We start from the raw sequence: 19198 nt of genomic DNA on the forward strand, positions 1-19198 counted from the left end.
CCCCACCCACATTGCTGCGAATATGTTGAATGAAGACACATGAGACTTGATGTTTCCCTATGGGTATGTGATGAAGCTGAGTGAAGCTGACCAGATGAAATCAAGTCAAGACAAAATCAACAATTGGATGGGAATTGAGAGAAATACAGATTAAAATATATAGGTATTTGCTCTGTAATAAGTACGCTACATCCAAAAGTAAAGTCAATGGCCCAAAAGTTAGCACATTTTTGTTTGTTCTCACAGAAAAATGGTGTCTGGACCAAGAAGGTGTCAATCCTACTTTGCTCTGTACTAAGGAGGCCACATCTACAGAGCTTATTCTCTTCCAGGGCCCCTTTCTGAGGTGTCTTGCTCAAGGTGAATATAAAGGACAGTACAGGGACTCAAGACAAGATGGACTCCTCCATTCATTTAATTATTCATTCAAGTTCATTCCTGCATTTGCTCATCAAAAATGTATTGAGTTCTTTCCAAAAACTGGGAGTACAAAGATGAATAAGATTGTTTCTACTCACAAAACATTTACAGCCCAGTGTGCAGCAAGCCTGGTTTGTTGTTACTCAGCCACTAATGCCACTTTCTTTCTTGCTAACTAGTTTTCATGGTTAGCAATATCCCCAGCTCATGATTCCTACCCCACAGCCAGAAGTGACTGGGGGACAATTTAAAATCTTCAGATAGCCTTGTGATTCCTTATACAAGGGATGAAGTAAGAAGACAGAAATCTGAGATCACTCCTTTCTTCTGCTTTTCACCTTGTTGGGGGCTATGATATCTGGAATTATGTAGATTCATTTTGGAATAATAAGGTTAAGAGAAGTAAGACAAACTTCACAAGCCATGAAAGGCAAAGAAGAAAGCTAGAACAACCTTGGTTATGGATGACAACGTTATGTTGCCACAATAACCCTGAGCTTGCCTACCTCTATCATGTTTGTTAAGTAAATAAATATACACTGGGCTTAAAGCAATGTTTGTTGGACTTTGTATCCTTGCAGCCGGAAGCACTCTTAGCAGATCCAGACTGTGAATGTAGGTGTATCACAGGTATTGGAAGAAGAGAGATGCTAGGGGCACATTCAGAATTCTATGGTGACTGGAGAAAAAGGACTGGCTCTGAGCTAGGTCCCAAAATAAAAATAGTAGAAACAACTCAATACGTACACTGGAAAAGTGAAAATTCAGATAGCCTGCAAGAGTTTTCATCCAATATAAGAAGGCATTTCATGCACAGGTGGTGTCTGACTTATTTTTCAGGTTCTCAGGAAATAAACTTGGATCAATGGGTGAATGAATGGAAGGGTGGTGGATACAATATCGAGAAATAAAGTGGACTCAAAATAAGAGAAGTGTCTCTAAAAGGTGGCCTTAAAACACAGTGTTTCTCTATCCTGAGTTGGCCAGGCACTACATGATGGAGATATGATGGAAGTAATTCAAGCACCTATTGGAGACTTAACTACAATTATTTTGAGAAATTCTGCATAGTAATACTGTATTCGTCCATTTTCACACTGCTATAAAGAACTACCTGAGACTGTGTAATTTACAAAGTAAAGAGGTTTAATTGACTCACAGTTCCAAATGGCTGGGGGTTGGGGGGCGCCTCAAGAAACTTACAATCACGGCAGAAGGCGAAGAGGAAGCAAGGCATCACTTACACGGTGGTGGAGAGAAAGAGAGCAAGGGGGGAACTGCCAAACTCTTTAAAACCATTAGATCTAGTGCGAACTCACTCACTGTCAGTAGAACAGCATGGGGGCAACTGCCCCCACTATCCAATCACCTCCTACCAGTTCCCTCCCTCTACACATGGGGATTACAATTTGAGATGAAATTTGGGTGGGGACACAGAGCCAAACAATATCAGGGATAAAGGATTTGGTCTTTGTCAGTTGCTAAGAATTAACTACTTATCCCTGCAAATGATTGCACTAATTTCATTAGATATACTCTCTGCAGCAGCAGAATCACATTTTCAGGGAGAAAGCTAAAAACAACAACAATAGCAAAAAAAAAAAAAAAAAAAAAAAAAAAAACGATATCCAGATGTTGAGACACTGCACTGTTTTGCTGCAAGGCAGTTCATATTTTTGTTATATATTTCATTCTGTCTACATGAAAGTGTGTGTGTATGAAGGTAGAAGGTGATTCAGGCTTATGATCTCGATGTGGACTATAATTTTCATAAAGCTTTTAAATTGTTTTATTTGAACTAAAGGAAACACTGAGCTGAAACACATTTCTTTTATATTCAGTTATGGCATAGGACTATCTCTCTGAAGGCTTCTCACACAAAGCATTTTATTCAAAGAGCTGAAAGGTGACAGGTGCAAACAAATTACTTTTGGGAAAAAAAAAAAAGAAAAAGAAAGTGAACCTCCAAGTCAATAGAAGTGTAGCTCATAGGAAGAGTTCTACTTTATTTTTGTGGTGATTGTTGTTCATATAATAACATTTGCCATTGCTATGATTTTATACCAGAATTAGAAGGAGAAACAATATCACTTTTTTCAGTCACCTGGTCACTAAAATCTGGCCTTTAAATCCATAAAAACGTGAACTGGGAGCATTTACAACTGTCACAGTATTCATCAAAAGCACCTGCCAAGCTCTTTCTGTTTATCCATAAATTATACATACATTGTGTTTGTGCGACATTGAATTTTCTGGAGTGGAGCACCCCTAGAAGCACTTTTGACACTTGAATAAAATACCTTTGATCAGTGCAGAATACTTTGCTGGCAAGAAAGGAAAATGGGGAAAAGATGAAGAGATGCTTCTATGATTTGTCTAAGCAAAGGGAAGACAGGGACACTATCTTTCTAATTATTAACAGAGCAGAAGGACTGATCACAAAGAGGAGACAATGCATACAGTGAATGTGGGCTTTCCAGCAACTTATCACGGGAAAAAAAAAATTACACAGTATCATTTCTGCAAACCCAACCTGTCTCTCAGCAATAGGAAAAGTAGGAGAGAAGACCAGGAAAATTAATAGGGAGCCAAAAATTGTCCTCAAAGTACTGCAAAGCACCACACAATAATATGAACCATAGTGAATTGGTAAATTGTCATAAAAACAGAAAACTCTTCTATGCTAAAAATATTCTTTTAGATTGATTTAGTGACTTTTGTAATGAGAGCTCCTGGTAGCAAGCAACCAATTGCTACACTGGCTGTTTTGCAGAAAGAACATTGACAACTCTGGTATCAGTTTCCATGGCATGTGACAGGGTGCACCTCTCACTAAGATGCTAGACATAAAACTCATATGAGCCATTGGTTCAAATCACAGTCCTGCCTCTAATGAACTGAGGGGCAGCTGGCACATCTTCTAATCTTTCTAACCCTTATTCCCCTCTTCTGTAATATGGTGACAATAACTTCTTTGCTATGAATATCATTACCTGAAGTAACATTTATTTTTCAGTTATAAAATAGGTGCTTAGCAAGTATTCCTTCCTTTCTTTTCCATTAGAAATGCTGTGAGTTTAGCATCATAGTAATTAATTTGGGTTTATCGTAGGCTACTTCGTTTACTCTACAGAGTATAGTAATGCCCATCTTCAATTTATAGTATCTGTGACCCCTACTTTCAACAATGTTGGTTAAGAGGCAGATGGCCTAGGTTTGAATCCCAGCTCTAATACTTGAACAAGTTTTGCTTGCTTGTGTCACTTTGGGCAAACTTAACCTTTCTGCGCCTCCATTCTCTCATCTGTAAAATGGGAATGAGTACTTTCTTCATAGAGCTGTTAGGATTCTGTAACTTAATACCTGTGATGGCAGTGTCTGCAGCAGGGAGGTGTGGCTGGGGCTGCACACTCCATGCAGCTGCCTGTGTGCTGCCACAGCTACCCAAACCATGGCTGCAGACCCAGGCCTCCTGCTCAATGGAAAGGCAGGAGTCCCACCCTCTTGGGAGGAGCTATAGCCACCCAAACTGCAGCTGCGAATCTAAGCTCCCCTGTGCTCTTGCGGGGGACCTGGAGCAGGCAGGATCTGCTTTCTTGGGTGCAGCTGCAAGACACCTGACCTGTGGTTGCAGACCTGGGCCTGCTGCCCCATGGAGCAGGTGGGAGTCGGAACAAGCAAGAACCCTTCCCCTTCTGAGTTGTTGGGGCAGGAGCTCTCTGGGTGCAGCTGTGGCCACCCTCCCAGAAGCAGTGTGACCTGCCTGCTCCCAATTCACCTTCCTCCATGATTGCAAGCTTCCTGAGGCCTCCCCAGAAGCTGAGCAGATGTCAGCACAGTGCTTCCTGTAAAACCTACAGAACTGTGATCCAATTAAGCCTTTTGTTAAAAAAAAAATTACCTAGTGTCAGGTATTTCTTTATAGCAATGTGAGAATGGCCTAACAATCTTACAAAGAAGGGAGATTTATTTCAAACTGAAAGATTAAGGACAACTTCTCCCAGAAAGAGGACAGATGGATAAAGAAAAATTAACTTCCAAAGCCAAACTGTTTGCTGCAGACTAAAATCACTCTGAGCTATTATGACAGTCACAGAAGCCTTCTTGGAGGAGGTGGCATATTTCTTGAATGATGAAAGATAAGAAGGAGTTGTAATGATAGAGAGGTCTATGACGTTGGACATTTAAGACTCTGAGTAATGATCCGTCAGCTCTCTTTGACACCCAACCCTGCCACTTCAGATGTTTTGGGCAAGTCACTTTCACACTGATAAGCCTCTTTCCCACTTTTATCAAGGGGGTAACACCACCTGCCTCACAGGGTTGTGTTGAGCACTTCTGGGCGGTCAAAATGAGAAAACATATGTAAGAATACCTGGTTTGTCCAGTCTCTGTTTCCCAGCCACCATTTCTAAATCATTCTCCTGGCGGGGAGCAAGTTCTCTCCAGCATGTAGTTATCAGCCTCAGAGAGGACTCAGATCACATCAAATTCTTTATGTGGTCAATAAACAAAATAAAATTGCCCATTATCCTACATATACCAGAAGAACAAAGAATACATTGTTAAGTTTACCTTGTTCTCCTATTACTATGTTTTTCTTATGCAATGACCACTGAGCTGTGTAACTACTGATGATTATAGAACAGACAATAAAGCTTATTAGTGTAACAGCCTGTGAGGAACAGCAGGAGAAAAAGGTCGACACTAAATGCTCTAACAGTATCCCTGGGATTGTAATTTCAAAATTAGGCCATTGAAGGTGAGAGTCAGTTCTATTGTGCTTTGATTGGCAGAGTATTTAACGCTAGGCTCAGAAGAGATATGATGAAGAAACAATTCATTTTAATATATAGTAGGATCACATGAAAAATATCTGGAGTGTTGAGGGAAAAAAACCTCAAAATGATGTTCTAAAATATAATTGTCTCGCATGAGACCTAGGCGCCCCTGCTGGTGAAAGAGGAGAAACGTGGGTGGTGTGACCAGACATGGTGGAGGCAGACATTACAATTTCCAGGGTGGCTATTGTAGGACAGGCATGCTAGGCCCTGGAACTGGGGAGATGAGCATAATCTCAGCTATTAAACATAATGTGATCATTGCTCCAACAGAGGGGGTGCAGAGAAAGGAGTGTTTAAGACCTGAACGTTTAGTCCAAGGTTCCAGGCTCACCAAGACTTCCATGGATAAGCTGCAAATGGTGGACGTGTCTATAGCTGGAGTGAATATCACCCTCCAAACTCAGGTTTGCAAAAATAGCCCTATTACTAACTTTTTTTTTTATAAAATCAAATAAAACCGATACTGTAAAGTTGATGGAAATGTCTGCTAGTCATCTGATCAACCCCTTACTGGGCATCATGAAATTCCCAGCTACTCTCATAGGGATCTACATACTGAGGAAGGTCTCTGTGCCTTCAGATCTTTGGCTTACACAGGTCACTGCAAATATGCTCACTGTCCAAAGCCTGAACTTCTTTTCAAGGTTGTGTTTCTTTTGCTTCTGTGCCAAGCGTGGGCACTGGGGTTTTTCCCGAAGGTGAGAACTGCTAATACAGCTCTACCTCCCTCGTGAACCAGACCACATTACCCTCTGAAGTTCCTATTTCTTCCAAGATCCCACAACTTATGGGACTATAATTCCATGAAGAGGGTGGCTTGTAAATTTCTCCCACCTGCAGAATCAACTTTTTCCAATTCAAGCCCTCCACGTGAACTTTTATGTATGTCACCTTGTGCACAGGTTCAAAAGCTTTTGGATTTACATCTTGGTAGATATCTGTTAGAGTCGATCAAACCCACATCTTAAATTGATGAGATATTAGTACAGTGCTCTCAAAGGCAGTTGCCTGAGTCTACCATTTTCATTCAGTGTGTGATTTTTCCCATTCTCTAGCATTCTTGACAATGCTGGCTGTCATCAGAATTTGTAAGATTTCTATCCAATTGGAAGGTGTATGAAGTGGCTTTCTTGGTGTGATTCTGATTTTTATTTCCCTGATTAGCAGAAAGGTTGAATATTTTTTCATGAATTTGCTTCCTGGCTGTTCAGAAGTATCTTTTCTATACTGTGAAAATTAATTATTCTATTATTTTTTGTTGTTAACATTTTCATGAGAATTTGTAAAAACTCTTTATAAATTTAGAAAACTAACAATTTGGTAGTTATAGGAATCAGCAATTACTTCCCTCAGTCTTTAATTAAACTGAAAGTTTTAAAGTAGAAAAATTCCTTTGTGATTTGCGTTCTTTGAGTCTTTTAAAATAGATCTTTTTCTACCCTGAGGTCTTCAAGATTTCCTCCCACATTTGCTTCTATAAGTATTAACACATTGGATCTTTAAAAAATATGTCTGGTATTGATTTTTATTTATGGTGTGAGATAAGGAATTAATGATCTTTCTTCCACTGCCAGCACAATCAATTGACTATGATGTTTTCATCATATAGTACCTTATCATCTAGAAAATATAGATGGAGAGCTGCTTTACTGATCACTCTTCATTTCTGTCCATTCATTTGTCTGCAAGTATCCATTTGTTTTGGATAGTATGATTTTGAAAAATCATATCTCATAGGACATTTCTTCTTCTCTCATTCTTTGCATCAAACCTATTACAGGCTTTGTGGAACTATATTATTACATAAATAATAGTAATGACTTGATCATTTCCATTAAAAACTCGTTGAAGTTGTATTGCATTTATAATTAATTTAAGAGAACTGACATTTTAAAATATTGAATCTTTACTTTCATGGACATTTTAATAGCTCTCCATTGAATGATGTATTTTTAACATCATTCAGTAATATTTTATAATTTCTCTGTAAGGTTATTTTATATTTTTATTAAATTTGTCACTGAGAACCTTATGATTTGTTGTTATAGTGAATGAGTTGTTTTCATTACAAATTTCTAAATAATTATGATAGGGTATAAAATGCTACTCATTTTCATATGCTAAACTTATTTACAACAACCTAGTAATCTTTTTAGTTTTAGTAGTTTGTTTGTAGCTTTGCCTGCATTTTTATATATCCCTTCATTTCCAATTCTTATATTCATAGTTCTTTTTCCTCTTTGTTTTAGAGAAGAGACCCAATACTAAATATGTGGTGATTGCCAAAATTCTTGTTCCATTAATTTAAATGCTTCTAAATTTTATCATCATGCACAATCTTTGCTAAAAGTCTTCAATCGATGTTAATTTACAACACTCTTTTATAGACTTAATATTCTAAAACCTTTGTTTTTAAAAAATAAAGCTTGATTTTTCCAAATATTTCTCTGCGTCTATTTAGATTACATACTTTTTCTCTAGCTTATTTCCTGATGTTGAGCCATCCTTGAATTTCTAAGATAAACTATACTTGGTCAGGGAGCATTCATTTGTATTTGCTGGGTTTAGTGTGCTATAATTTTTTCAGGATTTTACATTATAATTCATTAGGTAAATGAATTTATCATTTTTCTTTCTGAAATGTCCTTGTGTGATTTAGAGATCAAGATTATACTAACTAGATTGAGTTTGGGATTTCTCCTAAGACTTGCCTGTAGCACCTTGCTATCTTTTTATTTGGCAGAGAAGGACTTTTGTTACTGATTCAACTTATTGAATCTCATTTGGATTACTCAGATTTTCTATTTCTTCTTAAGTCTATTATGAAATGTCTCAACCTTGTCAATGTTCACATTTTGGGCTGAATAATTCTTTATTGTTTAGGGCTGTCTGTGTGCACCGTAGGTTGTTTGGTGGTACACCTGGACTCTACCCACTAGATGCCAGTAACACCTTCATATTCCTACCCAAGTGGTGACAACCACAAATTTCTCCAGATAATTGCCAAATGTCCCCTGGGGACAAAATTGCCCCTGATTGGGAACCACAGGTATGACCCAAATAATGATAGCATTTATCTGTTAGGATTGATTTGAGAATTTGAAGACATGTAAATTGATCAAATTATTTTCTGATACATCAAAAATATTTAATACAAGTTAGTATTTTCTATTGTAATTAGTTTTTCAAGACTGAGTTATCAAGGTTGGTCCTCTGGATGAGAAGAATGGTAGTCTCCCCATTGTTTGAAAGTCACTTAAATTATTGACACCTTTTTTGCCTGGCAGATGACAAAAATGAGAACCCAGTTTGTGTTTTATCAGTATTTTTTTTATATTTATATGCATGAAGTACATACAGCTTATGATTCAAAGTGGTCAAAGCTGTAAACAGTCAGAGTATACTCAATTAATTGGCCTGGGAAGGATTCTTCCAAGGGCTAACTCTTAACAGAGAAAACGTGGACTTTCAGAAATGTAAATTCTGCTATGGGATCCTGAGAATGTGACTCGTTGTATTGGAAGGACAAATGCAAAAATTAAAGGTCGTCATAGAAATCCTTGTCTATTAAGGGTGCTGTCAGATAAATTCATAACTGCTAAGGCAATGCCAACTGCATCACTGTCCATTTTATCATTGTGCTGTATTTTTATAAATCTCTGTGAAATATAGTTTCTTTTCAACATAGGGCTGGTTTACAAAAATTTGGGGTTATGGACACAACCTTATGGGATGGGAGGACACATGGTATAAAGTAAATACCATAGTCCTTGCACAAGGTTTTAATTTATGCCCTGTCACTTGTCTGGAACTTTGGGAAAGTACTGAAACTTTATGGTCTTCCATTTGCCCAGTTGTGCCAAGGGGCAAGAATTGAAATGTTTTTACTTCTGAAAATTCTGTTTGTCTGAAGGCATAATCAGAAAGGATAACATCTGTCTGTCACAGTGGATAAAATAAGATAATTTGGAGGGTGCTCCCCAGCGCTAGTGTCTTTAAGAAAGATTATGGAAGCCAGTGACCTGGAAGTCATCTGGCTTTGTTGCATCCTGGCTGTGTGACCTTGGTCAGCTTAACCTGTCTGTGTACTACCTTCAGCTCTGTCCCGTGGAGGCACTCTTAGTTTCTAGCCTCCAGTGCTACCATGAAGATCCAGTAGTGTCAGTTATAGAAGTCCTTAGAATGGTGTCTCACAAATGTAAGTGTTCAACCTATTAGCTTCAATCATTATAATTATTGTTGTTCTTACTGTTGGCAACTGTGAGGCCCCTTTGCTTCCACTGCACACTCGGGGGGTGTGGAGCATGCATTTTTAACAATTACAAATTGCCTGTACTCTTCAAGGCATGTCACACTATTAAGAGCCTTTACTCTGATTCCAATTTTGAGCAACCTGTTTTCCCAACATTCAGTGGCCATTGTGTGCTTTCCCTTTGAAAGCTAAATAACAGACATCAGCGTCTAAAAGATTCAGAAAAACAGAGGCACTTTAAGTTCCCAGTTTTATGAGCTTCCATCAGTGTGACAAAAGTAGCTCCCAGATTTCCATTCTGTTCTCTGTTCCCTTCCCCAGCAGGGGTTGGGGCAACTGCTGGAGCAGGGAGCCAGCAGAGCTATACGCTGTCACCCATCGAAAGATGGATCGCTCTCTTTTGTGCTCTGAAAGCTCAGGTTGTCTGCCTCCCGGATGGGTCAAGCAGGCTCCGCCAGCTTCCAGGGTTTAGAACAAAGACTACATGTCACACAGGAAGAATCATAGAGAGCTCTGATGTGGAAACCTGAGATCTACAGCCTTTTGAGAGGAACTCAGCATGGAAACCCCATAGTGTCCTATGGGAAGCAGAGACAGCGCCAAGCTGAACCCAACTGGGATTTCATGAATGAGGCGGCTTCCTCTTCTCGCCTGCTGTGGCTCGCAGCTGGCAGAGTTCCTGGGCTCTGGGTAAACAGGACTGTCTTGAAAAAGCTTCTGTGAGATAGGTGATGATCAATGGACTGCTTCAGAACTTCAAGAGCGTTGGTCAGATATCTGTACGTCTTTCTAGGGTAATTTCCTAACAATATTTTTAGCTTGCTAGGGAAGATGGTGATGCTTAAATAAGAGGCACTGATTTGCACAAAGGACATTTCTAATGGAAAGTTATTCAACAAGTTCGTGTAAGGAAAATGGATCTGTATACCCATAACAAAAAGGCTTTTCCTATTCCCTTATCTTTAGACGTTTCCTAGGAAATGCACTTGCATGGTATGGAGTAGTGAAAACAGTCCAGGATGGAACACCTCGGTCCTATTATATGTTCGGCCATAAATGATGTGACCTGGCGGAGTTTTTTCTTAACCCAGTGTCTCTCTCTGTACAGAGGTGATATTTATGCAATGGCTGTCACAACGTGGACTCAAAACCCAAACAAGGGAACGGATGTGAGATGCGTAAAAGCATATTAGCCCCTCCCATTTACAATTTATAATGACAATCCTAGACAGCTATATGCTAATAGCTTGGTACTGACATTTGGAACCTAAAAATGAAGCAGATAACTTGCTTCCCAACTTTTGACTTCTGTCTTGATGCCCCCCTCCCCATGAAATTGACATTACGGTCTTCAGTGCCATAATGTTCTGAAATGGCCATGTTGGCGTTATGCAGTGGGCTTATTTCCATAAAGTTTTATGACAGATTCAAGGCATTTATGGGTTCACTTTGCTATGACAAGCAGTTTTTATACATGATTAGAATTTTCAATAATTTATTCCTTGGCAAATTCTTTGCAGGGCCCCTCCTTCCCTCACACCTTGGCTTGATATCTCTACATACGTTTGTTTACTCAGGTGATGGATGCAAATCTTTAATAGGTTTGGTAAACAGTTTTTTTTTTTTTCCAGAATTAAAATTCCTGCTCATAAAGAAGAATATTTCTGAAAAGACCTGAGGCAAGTTACCCAACCAAATCCTCCCTATTCTTAACACATTTCTTAATGTGGTTAAATGTTGTTCCAGTCTTTGTATTTAGAGTATTGCCAAGCCCCTAATTTTGTGACTGGTCTTCTTAAGTGCTCCTTTGGGAAGGATCCAGTTATTCTTTCTTCTCCTCCACTTCCTCTGAGAGTGTGAAGTCTGCTTGTCTGCTAAACCCCTGCTACTATGCACGTTACTCAGAATAGATCAGAGAATATTTACTTAGTCGATTTTTCCTGAAGGGACAGAGACACTAACTTGTTAAACTTTGTGTCCTTAGCATAGTACCTGGCACATAAAGGCACATAAAGGGGACCGTTAAATATTTGCTGAATGAATTAATGACTGAATAAGTGATTGCTAGCTCCATTTATCTGATTACTCAGTGTGTCAGTTTGAGTCCATGGAGAGGCAGATGCCAAGGCAGAATTGTATGCAGAAGGGATTTACTGGGGGAGATTTGTGAATGACAAAGGGTGAAGGATCACCAGTAAGTGGGGAGAGCAATGGTCAGACCACATCAATGGTCACATATTTGTGAAAGGAAATGGGAAGGAAGGATTCGGTGGGAAGAGCCTCAGTCCACTGGACAGGGGTCTGAGAAAGTGAGTCCAGCTGATGCAAGCCCCTGAGTGGAAGGTCCTCAAAAGTGTCCTGCACGAGGAGAAATGGGCCAGAACCAGCATCACTGTCAGGTTCAGTCATTGGCAGGGATGAATCTGAAGGGAGCTTCGTTTCAGCATTCACAGCGGCTGCAGCTGGGTGGCCTGTTGGTCACCCACACTCCTGCAGCTGGGGCTCCTGGAGGCAGATCCAGCAGGGGACGTCCACAGCCACAGAAGTACATCCCGGTGGAGCACAGACCCACTTCTCCATGTGGGTTCCTAAGTCCCTCCTCTAGCTGGGGCAGTTTAGACTTGTGTCCAGTAGTTCCTGAAATGCGTGGGTGTTTCCCTTCCCCCAGGACACAATCTCCCTACAGATGGCTATAGGTACCTTGGGAGGGGACTGGAGAAATACTACAGGGTGTACTGGCTGCAGTGCTGCAGAGTCCTTGTTCCTAGCAAATTGGTTACCTCTTCACTCCATGGGCTGGTTTTACAGTTGGTCTCAGGGCCTGGGACTGAGCCAGGGATCATGGCATTTTATTAGACTGACCGCTTCCATTTCCTCCTCCTCTCTTCTTGCTTTTTTGTTGTTGTTATTTGCATATAGATGCCAATAGCATTCTTGTTAACTGACCACCTATTTTACTCCGAGGGACATCATATTCTATTAACTATTCCCACTACTGCAGATCAAATCCCCTTGGTTGCCCCTATGATCTTGACCATCATTACAGTAATCACATCCCCTGGCTTCTGGCTAGTAAATGCTACCACCTGCATCTCTTACTTCAAGGCTCCATCATCCCCAGGACATTAACAAGCCCATCTGAGATCACCCCTCCAACTCTCAGCCTTGGCCTACAGAGGAGAGCCACCGCTTGATGTCTTAGTGAAGTTCTTAGTAGTGTATCCTTGATGTCCTTAGCAAATGGTGTTTCCCCTGATTTCCTCTGGAATATAATATGTGGTGGGTCTTATGGCCTCATATAATACATTGATTCATCAGGCCCATCCCTCCAGCCCCTTTATTTCTTCTTCCACCACCCTCCAAGGCAACTCAAACATTTCCACTTTGCTTAACTTGGGCCAACTTAGTTATGTTTGTGCCATATCCCCTGGGGTCCATGCCAGGGCGTTAAATCCCATATCCTAAAAGTGTGCCACCAATTCAAAACTTTGTACATATCCAGGCTTAAGTTCGGGCCTTCTGTTGAAGTATTCTCCAAATACAACCCTAGTGGCATCCATCTGACTCCTGCTGGTGCACGCAGGGTAATTCTTATAGCTGCTTTGGCATGTGCTCTCTCTCCTCCCATGTCAGACTGAGCACGTCCCAGTTGACTTATATTAGGGTTTAACCCTAGTTATCAATCAGGTTGCAGGGGAAGGGAGTGGGGGTATCCACTGGAGGTAGGAGGCACCTGCCTTGAGGTCTATGCAACGTAGTCTAGCCCAGCAGAAGTGCTAGCTCTTATTGAAAATGACAAGTGAGTCATACGCTGTGAGGGTCCAGAGGGTTTTGAACCTTAGACCCTTAAGATTTCCACTTACATGTTCCTTTTCCACATTTCAGGGACCAAGGTTTTTGCTTCCAAGGCCCTAAGCTTAGCATAACAGACCTGTCTTGGCTCAGCATTTAACTGTCTATGGAACGGTGTGACTCTGTCAAGTCCTGAATTTGCTTTTCTATTGCAGGAAATAAGAGCCTCTCTATACACCATCTAAGTGCTCCTTTGGCTCTACACTCTCCTTTTTATAATATATTTTAATCCCTCAATAGGGCATTTACACAACTTAACTATAACCAGCTGATTCTACCCTTCTTATAAGCATGGTGTATGCCATATGTTCCCAATACCTGAACATTACATTTGCAAATGGGGTCCCTCCATCAAGATATTGTCCTAAAACACTACCAATGAAATATTCAGGAACTAGGATGCCATATTATGCTAGGGTCTATCTGTGCTGCATATCTGTATGGATGGCATGGTCTTAGCCAGCCAGTCAGTCACACAGGCGGTAACCAATCCCCATCTCACCGGCTGCTTTCTCAGATCGTTTCTGATTTACAGGTTAGTTCATGTTCCCTGAGAAATGGAAACTGAGACAGGACTGTGAGATTTATTGTTTGAAACACCTGTGAAGGGGCAAAGGGAAGTAAGCCAGAAGGGCAGGGAGAACGTTCAGACTGTGATGCAGGTCTGGCACCTATGATGAGAGAGGGAGCAGGAAGAAGACTGCATAAGAGGAGTCTCAGATTGTAGCACTGGTCTATGAATGCTTTGCCAAGGCAAATGGCAAGTTGTCCAGCCAGTGTCACCATTGGAGGTATCCGACATTCCATGAGCCAGAACTACAGTCTCCACTCTATTTGCCCCAGTCATTGGCTCTGAGCAGCTCTGGGGAAGCCTGCCCTCGGCACACACATGGTGGAGGAGCGAAAGGTGTACCAGCCAAGGCTGTCATTCAGCTACTTCTTCCCCAAGCAAATGACCTGAACAGCACATTGTCATGGCTTCCTCATTTACTCCTTGGGATGGACATTTTATAAAATGTGGTGGGAAGATCCTCTTTCCAAAATTGTGTCAGAGTCAAACAACATGATCAGAGGAAAAGCTGCTTTTTGTCCTGCCACAAAAAGTTCCAATCCTATTGGTGCATCTCAAGAATGTCATCATCCTACACACTGGAGAGCAGCACCTGGCCCAAGGAGCCTATTTGTAAGGCCTGTAATTATGCAAGCACATTGTATTTATCTATTTTATGCATGATGAGACTGAGTAATGGGAAGGGAGGAGAGCAGGACACATGCAGAAGTACGACATGTTTTTATGTAGATGTCAAAGCCATGTTTGGCTATTGGCTATTCATGTGGAAGTGGTGGGAGTTTATTGTAAGACCTGTTAAATAAGAGAGACATTGTATTCCTTCTCTACTTACAGCTCATCATTAACTAGCTAAGAAGATTCAAGGAAGCAAAAGTGCTACTTGTTAAAAACCTATTTTGTGCCAGGGATATCATTAGATAATTTTTCAAGTATTTTTGCTTTGAAATATCATAAGGTATCATAAGAGGTACATGTTAGCATCATTCAACAAATGAAGAAATAGAGATGAAAAGAGATGAAGTGACCTATCTGAACTCCCCTACCATGTAAATGGCAATACACAAGGAATTAAACAGCTTAGTTTTCACTAGTGTTTATATTACATGGAATTTGTATATGCATAATGTGGTCAGTTACTTGCAATCATGAAGTATTAAAACATACCGAAATATCAGCAATCATTTTATCTATCAGGAGTTGGCAAACTTTTTCAGTAAAGGGCCATGCAGTAAATATTTTAGCCTCTGTGGAACTGACAGTCTCTGTCATAACTACCCAACTCTGATGTTGTAATGCAAAGACAGCCACAGACAAAAATGTAGATGAATAGATATGGCTGTGTTCCAAAAACAACTGTATTTACACAACTAGGCAGCAGGCTGGTTGGCTCAAGGGCCATAGTTTGCTTACCTCTGCTTTAGATTAAAAAGTAAATAAAACTAAAACTAAATCCACTATGGTTCAGCAAGTTTAAATAACTTGTCCATGATCACATTTATTAGAAATTACTTGCAAAGCCAATACTAAAATCGGGGTTTTCCTCCCAGAGTATGAGGATTTCACTGCACCAAACTTTTCATCTAGGATTTTCAATTCTGTGGTAGGAAAGCAGATACTTGAGGAGAAAGAGGAAAAAGAGACGAGAGTAAAAAGCAGGGTATAGAGCCTTGAATGCCACACTAAGAAGGCATTGGAGACACACTGCAGGTTTACAGCAGTTTGGCAATGATTGATTGGGAATGTTCGAAGCCAGACATAGAAGGATACATTCTAGATGTGTCTGCAGCAGTGTGGATGGTGACCCCGAATAGTGAGCAGTCAGAAGGGACTGTGTGGTGGCTTAATGCAGTAGGATACAGATGGCATAGCAGGGGAAGAAACTGTGGATATTGCTGACTGATTGGGGGCAGGGATACAGGGTTTGCCTGGAGAGGGGTAAGCAGCAGGATGGGCACAGTGGAGAGAGAGAACTGTGGCCACTTGTCTGCATGACAGATACAATGGCAGCTCCATGAACAAAACAGAAAATTAAAAGTTGCTGAGCTGGAGGAAAACTACATGGCTGCTTTCTTGTGTTATCCTCATGTGGGCCAAGAGAAAAATATCTTTCTCTTGTTTCTTTTTATAAGAGCGCTGATTCCATTCCTGTGAGCACGACCCTCATGAACTAATTATCTTCCTGAGCCCCACCTCCTAATACCATCCCACTGAAGGATAAGATTTCAACACGCAAACCTTGGAGAGACACAAACAGTCCGTAGCAGCTGGGATCCACACCCACGCAGTCTAATCGAAGAGCCTGCAGGCCCTCCTTATATATTTTTTTTCTTGTATTGAGTGTTTCACATTTCATTCTTTGACGGGATCAATTACAGTACATTTCAGACAGTTTGTTATATATGCTTCCCTTCTGGGGAAGAAAGGTCACATTCCTTCCCACCCCTCTGAGTCCACTGCCCCTTCACACTTCACCCTATTCTTCTGCCAACCCTGTCCACCCTCTTGAGGAGGGGTCTCTCAAAGTTTCACTATGAAAGGGGGGCAGATGCAGGCCTTGATTTGCAACCATACTCCCTCGTGGTTCCAGTGTAGTATAGCAGCACTATCACCTGCTGGTCTTTGGATGGAATTTAATTCAGACACTGCTTTGGATAATTGTAATTCAAGTGAGTGGTTCTTATTCAAGTCCGGGGGGCAAACAGTTCTATGAGTGTAGCAACATCTTATTTTCATGGTATCACTAGCACCTAGCACAGTCCCAGGTTCTGGGAAATAAGAGATGCTGAATAAATCTTTGTTAAATGGACAAGCATATGGATGAGTGATTCTCAAACAGCATAAGTATTATAACAGATACAAAATGCAATCAAAACACAGGACCATCCAATTCATTCCATTTCCCAGGGGAAGGGTAGAAAAGAAATATTGAATAATAAAATAAAGTAACTTTAGAGTTGGATGTTCAAAAATGAATAAGTGTTAATGAGATGAGAACTGTATTCTAGAATCCTATAAATGTGTACCTCATGCAATTAGAAGGTGAGAGAAAGCAAGAGCAACAGGGTGACTTGCATCTACTCTATAGTGAATATTTGCAGGTGCCAGCTTAATCCTCATCATAGCCCTTTGAGATGGGTTTTCAAATCCTTTCAGTTTTGACAACAGGGAAACTGAGGCTTACAGAAGCAAAGCCATTTTTCCAGGGTTGTGCCGTTGGTACAGAGCAAAGCTGATCTTTGAATCCAGCTGAGTCTGACTTCAAAATATATATATATATAAAAATATGTGTATGTATATGTATATATACATATACACACAGAGTTTGAGGTTCCAACTGAATGCAGCAAGAAGTTTGTTTGGGGACCTAATCAGAGACAAAAGTAGGAAAATAAATCATTGTAACTCTGCAGCAGTTCTCAAATGCTGTTTTCCTTGAGAATTTGTGTGATGAAGTCACAAAATGGGAGATTCTATCTGAAGTTTGAGTTATTACAAAAGCTTTTATAAGACAGAAGCCATTTGCATCACACTTCAAAAAGTTAATAGGCCTTCATGTCTCCGGAAACTACCAGAATTTGCATAGCAATGGCTGGTGGCTGACTTAAGCAAAGTTTATGATGCCTTGGCCCCAGGTTTCCCAGCTTTCCCTGAAGATCACTGGCTAAAAGCAGATTAGAGAATGGCAAGCTAGCCCTCCAAACACAGCCAGCCCACCTGCCTCTCCGATAGGCAGTCATCAGACAGCAAGACCTTAATCTGCTTTAGAAAAAAAAAAAAAAGTGTGGCCTAAACAGATTGGCATTTGCCTTTAAAGAAAATTGGAAAGAAATGGCTCTTCAGGCCACACTAACTGGGCATGCAATGCATTTGCCCCTATGTACATCCCCACATCTCAGGGCTAATGTGGGAATTTCTATTTTGTGGGCTAGCCCTTGTGCGGCTCTGGCTGGGGTTCTCTTTCTCCACTCTGACCTGGGCACCCTGTCTGTTCTGTGTGCAACCTACACTTTCACCTGGCAGCCATTTGTCCAGATGGCTTTCCCATTCATTTTTTGTTTGTCTATTTGTTTGTTTGAAACAAACAAATAGACAAACTTTGTCATCCAGGCAGGAGGGCAGTGGCACGATATTGGCTCACTGCAACCTTCATCTCTCAGGTTCAAGTGATTCTCGTGCCTCAGCCTCCTGAGTAGCTGGGTTTACAGGTGCACACCACCATGCCTGGCTAATTTTTGTATTTTTAGTGGAGACAGGGTTTTGCCATGTTGGTCAGGCTGGTCACCAACTCCTGGCCTCAAGCGATCCACCCGCCTTGGCCTCCCAAAGTGCTGGGATTATAGGCGTGAGCCACTGCGCCCAGCCCCATTCATCTTTATCAGTGCACCTAGAAGAGTTGGGCATCCCACTGCTCTAGGTCGTGGCTCTCATTCCCACTGCACTTCAGACACCCTGAGAACAGAATGAAAAACAGAAACCAAGTGCTTAAGGGTCAAGAGTTTGTGCAAGACCATAGACCTTCACAGTTCTTTCTTTCAAAGGACACATAGCTTAATAAGAGGAGAGAAATTTAATGACAAATAAGGGTACACAGTGCTAATCAAAGTCCTTTAGTCAAAAACACTCTAACACGTTGGATAAAGGAGCCTGTCCGTAGTAGCCTCTCTTCCTGCAGCCAACATTAAAACTGCTTCCTCAGAGGAAGAGGATAAATAAGTGCCAGACAGTCAGTCCTTTGAACTTCAGCCAATATAAATATCATGCCGCTGTCATGAAAATAAACTTATTTGCTTAATCCACTTCCTCTTGATAATAAACAACTTAGCCCAAGGCCTAGTGTATAGAGTTATGTTTAGCACTAGCAGAGAAGCTGGTAAAAAAACTTTCTCTCTCAAGAAATAATCTCCATACATTTCCTAGGGAAGTTCTGTTTTGCGTGTGTGTAATCTTGGGAGGAGCTCTGAAAGCATCCAGTTCAGCTCTTCATCTAATGAGACATTTTTCTCAGACCTTCACTACACACTAAAGAGAAGGAAAGATGTGAAGCCAGGAGGCGGCGGTTGTAGTGAGCCGAGATCGCGCCACTGCACTCCAGCCTGGGCGACAGAGTGAGACTCCGTCTCAAAAAAAAAAAAGAGAAGGAAAGATGGAAGGGACTAGAAAATCCTGAGAAAAGACCCAACGCCTCACATATTTGATGTCCAAAAGGACATCCAGAAGAATAGGTACTCTTATTCTGTCCTCTAACTGGATCTCACCTGT

General features: G+C 40.9%; 4 annotated features.

The window, feature by feature from the left end:
* Positions 3459-4003: an enhancer, noted in NCBI's record as "H3K27ac-H3K4me1 hESC enhancer chr4:11218597-11219141 (GRCh37/hg19 assembly coordinates)". NCBI's record gives its function as "activates a minimal SCP1, AML or CMV promoter by ChIP-STARR-seq in primed H9 embryonic stem cells {active_cell/tissue: H9 hESC(primed)}" and the evidence as "EXISTENCE:reporter gene assay evidence [ECO:0000049][PMID:30033119]".
* Positions 4004-4547: an enhancer, noted in NCBI's record as "H3K27ac-H3K4me1 hESC enhancer chr4:11219142-11219685 (GRCh37/hg19 assembly coordinates)". NCBI's record gives its function as "activates a minimal SCP1, AML or CMV promoter by ChIP-STARR-seq in primed H9 embryonic stem cells {active_cell/tissue: H9 hESC(primed)}" and the evidence as "EXISTENCE:reporter gene assay evidence [ECO:0000049][PMID:30033119]".
* Positions 12122-12317: a silencer, noted in NCBI's record as "fragment chr4:11227260-11227455 (GRCh37/hg19 assembly coordinates)". NCBI's record gives its function as "represses an EF-1alpha promoter that drives an FKBP-Casp9 reporter gene in an ReSE screen in phorbol 12-myristate 13-acetate-treated (for megakaryocytic differentiation) K562 erythroleukemia cells {active_cell/tissue: K562(+PMA)}" and the evidence as "EXISTENCE:reporter gene assay evidence [ECO:0000049][PMID:32094911]".
* Positions 17242-17990: an enhancer, noted in NCBI's record as "OCT4-NANOG-H3K27ac-H3K4me1 hESC enhancer chr4:11232380-11233128 (GRCh37/hg19 assembly coordinates)". NCBI's record gives its function as "activates a minimal SCP1, AML or CMV promoter by ChIP-STARR-seq in primed H9 embryonic stem cells {active_cell/tissue: H9 hESC(primed)}" and the evidence as "EXISTENCE:reporter gene assay evidence [ECO:0000049][PMID:30033119]".

This window comes from Homo sapiens, chromosome 4 (genome assembly GCF_000001405.40).
Source record: "Homo sapiens chromosome 4, GRCh38.p14 Primary Assembly".
Classification (NCBI taxonomy): domain Eukaryota; kingdom Metazoa; phylum Chordata; class Mammalia; order Primates; family Hominidae; genus Homo; species Homo sapiens.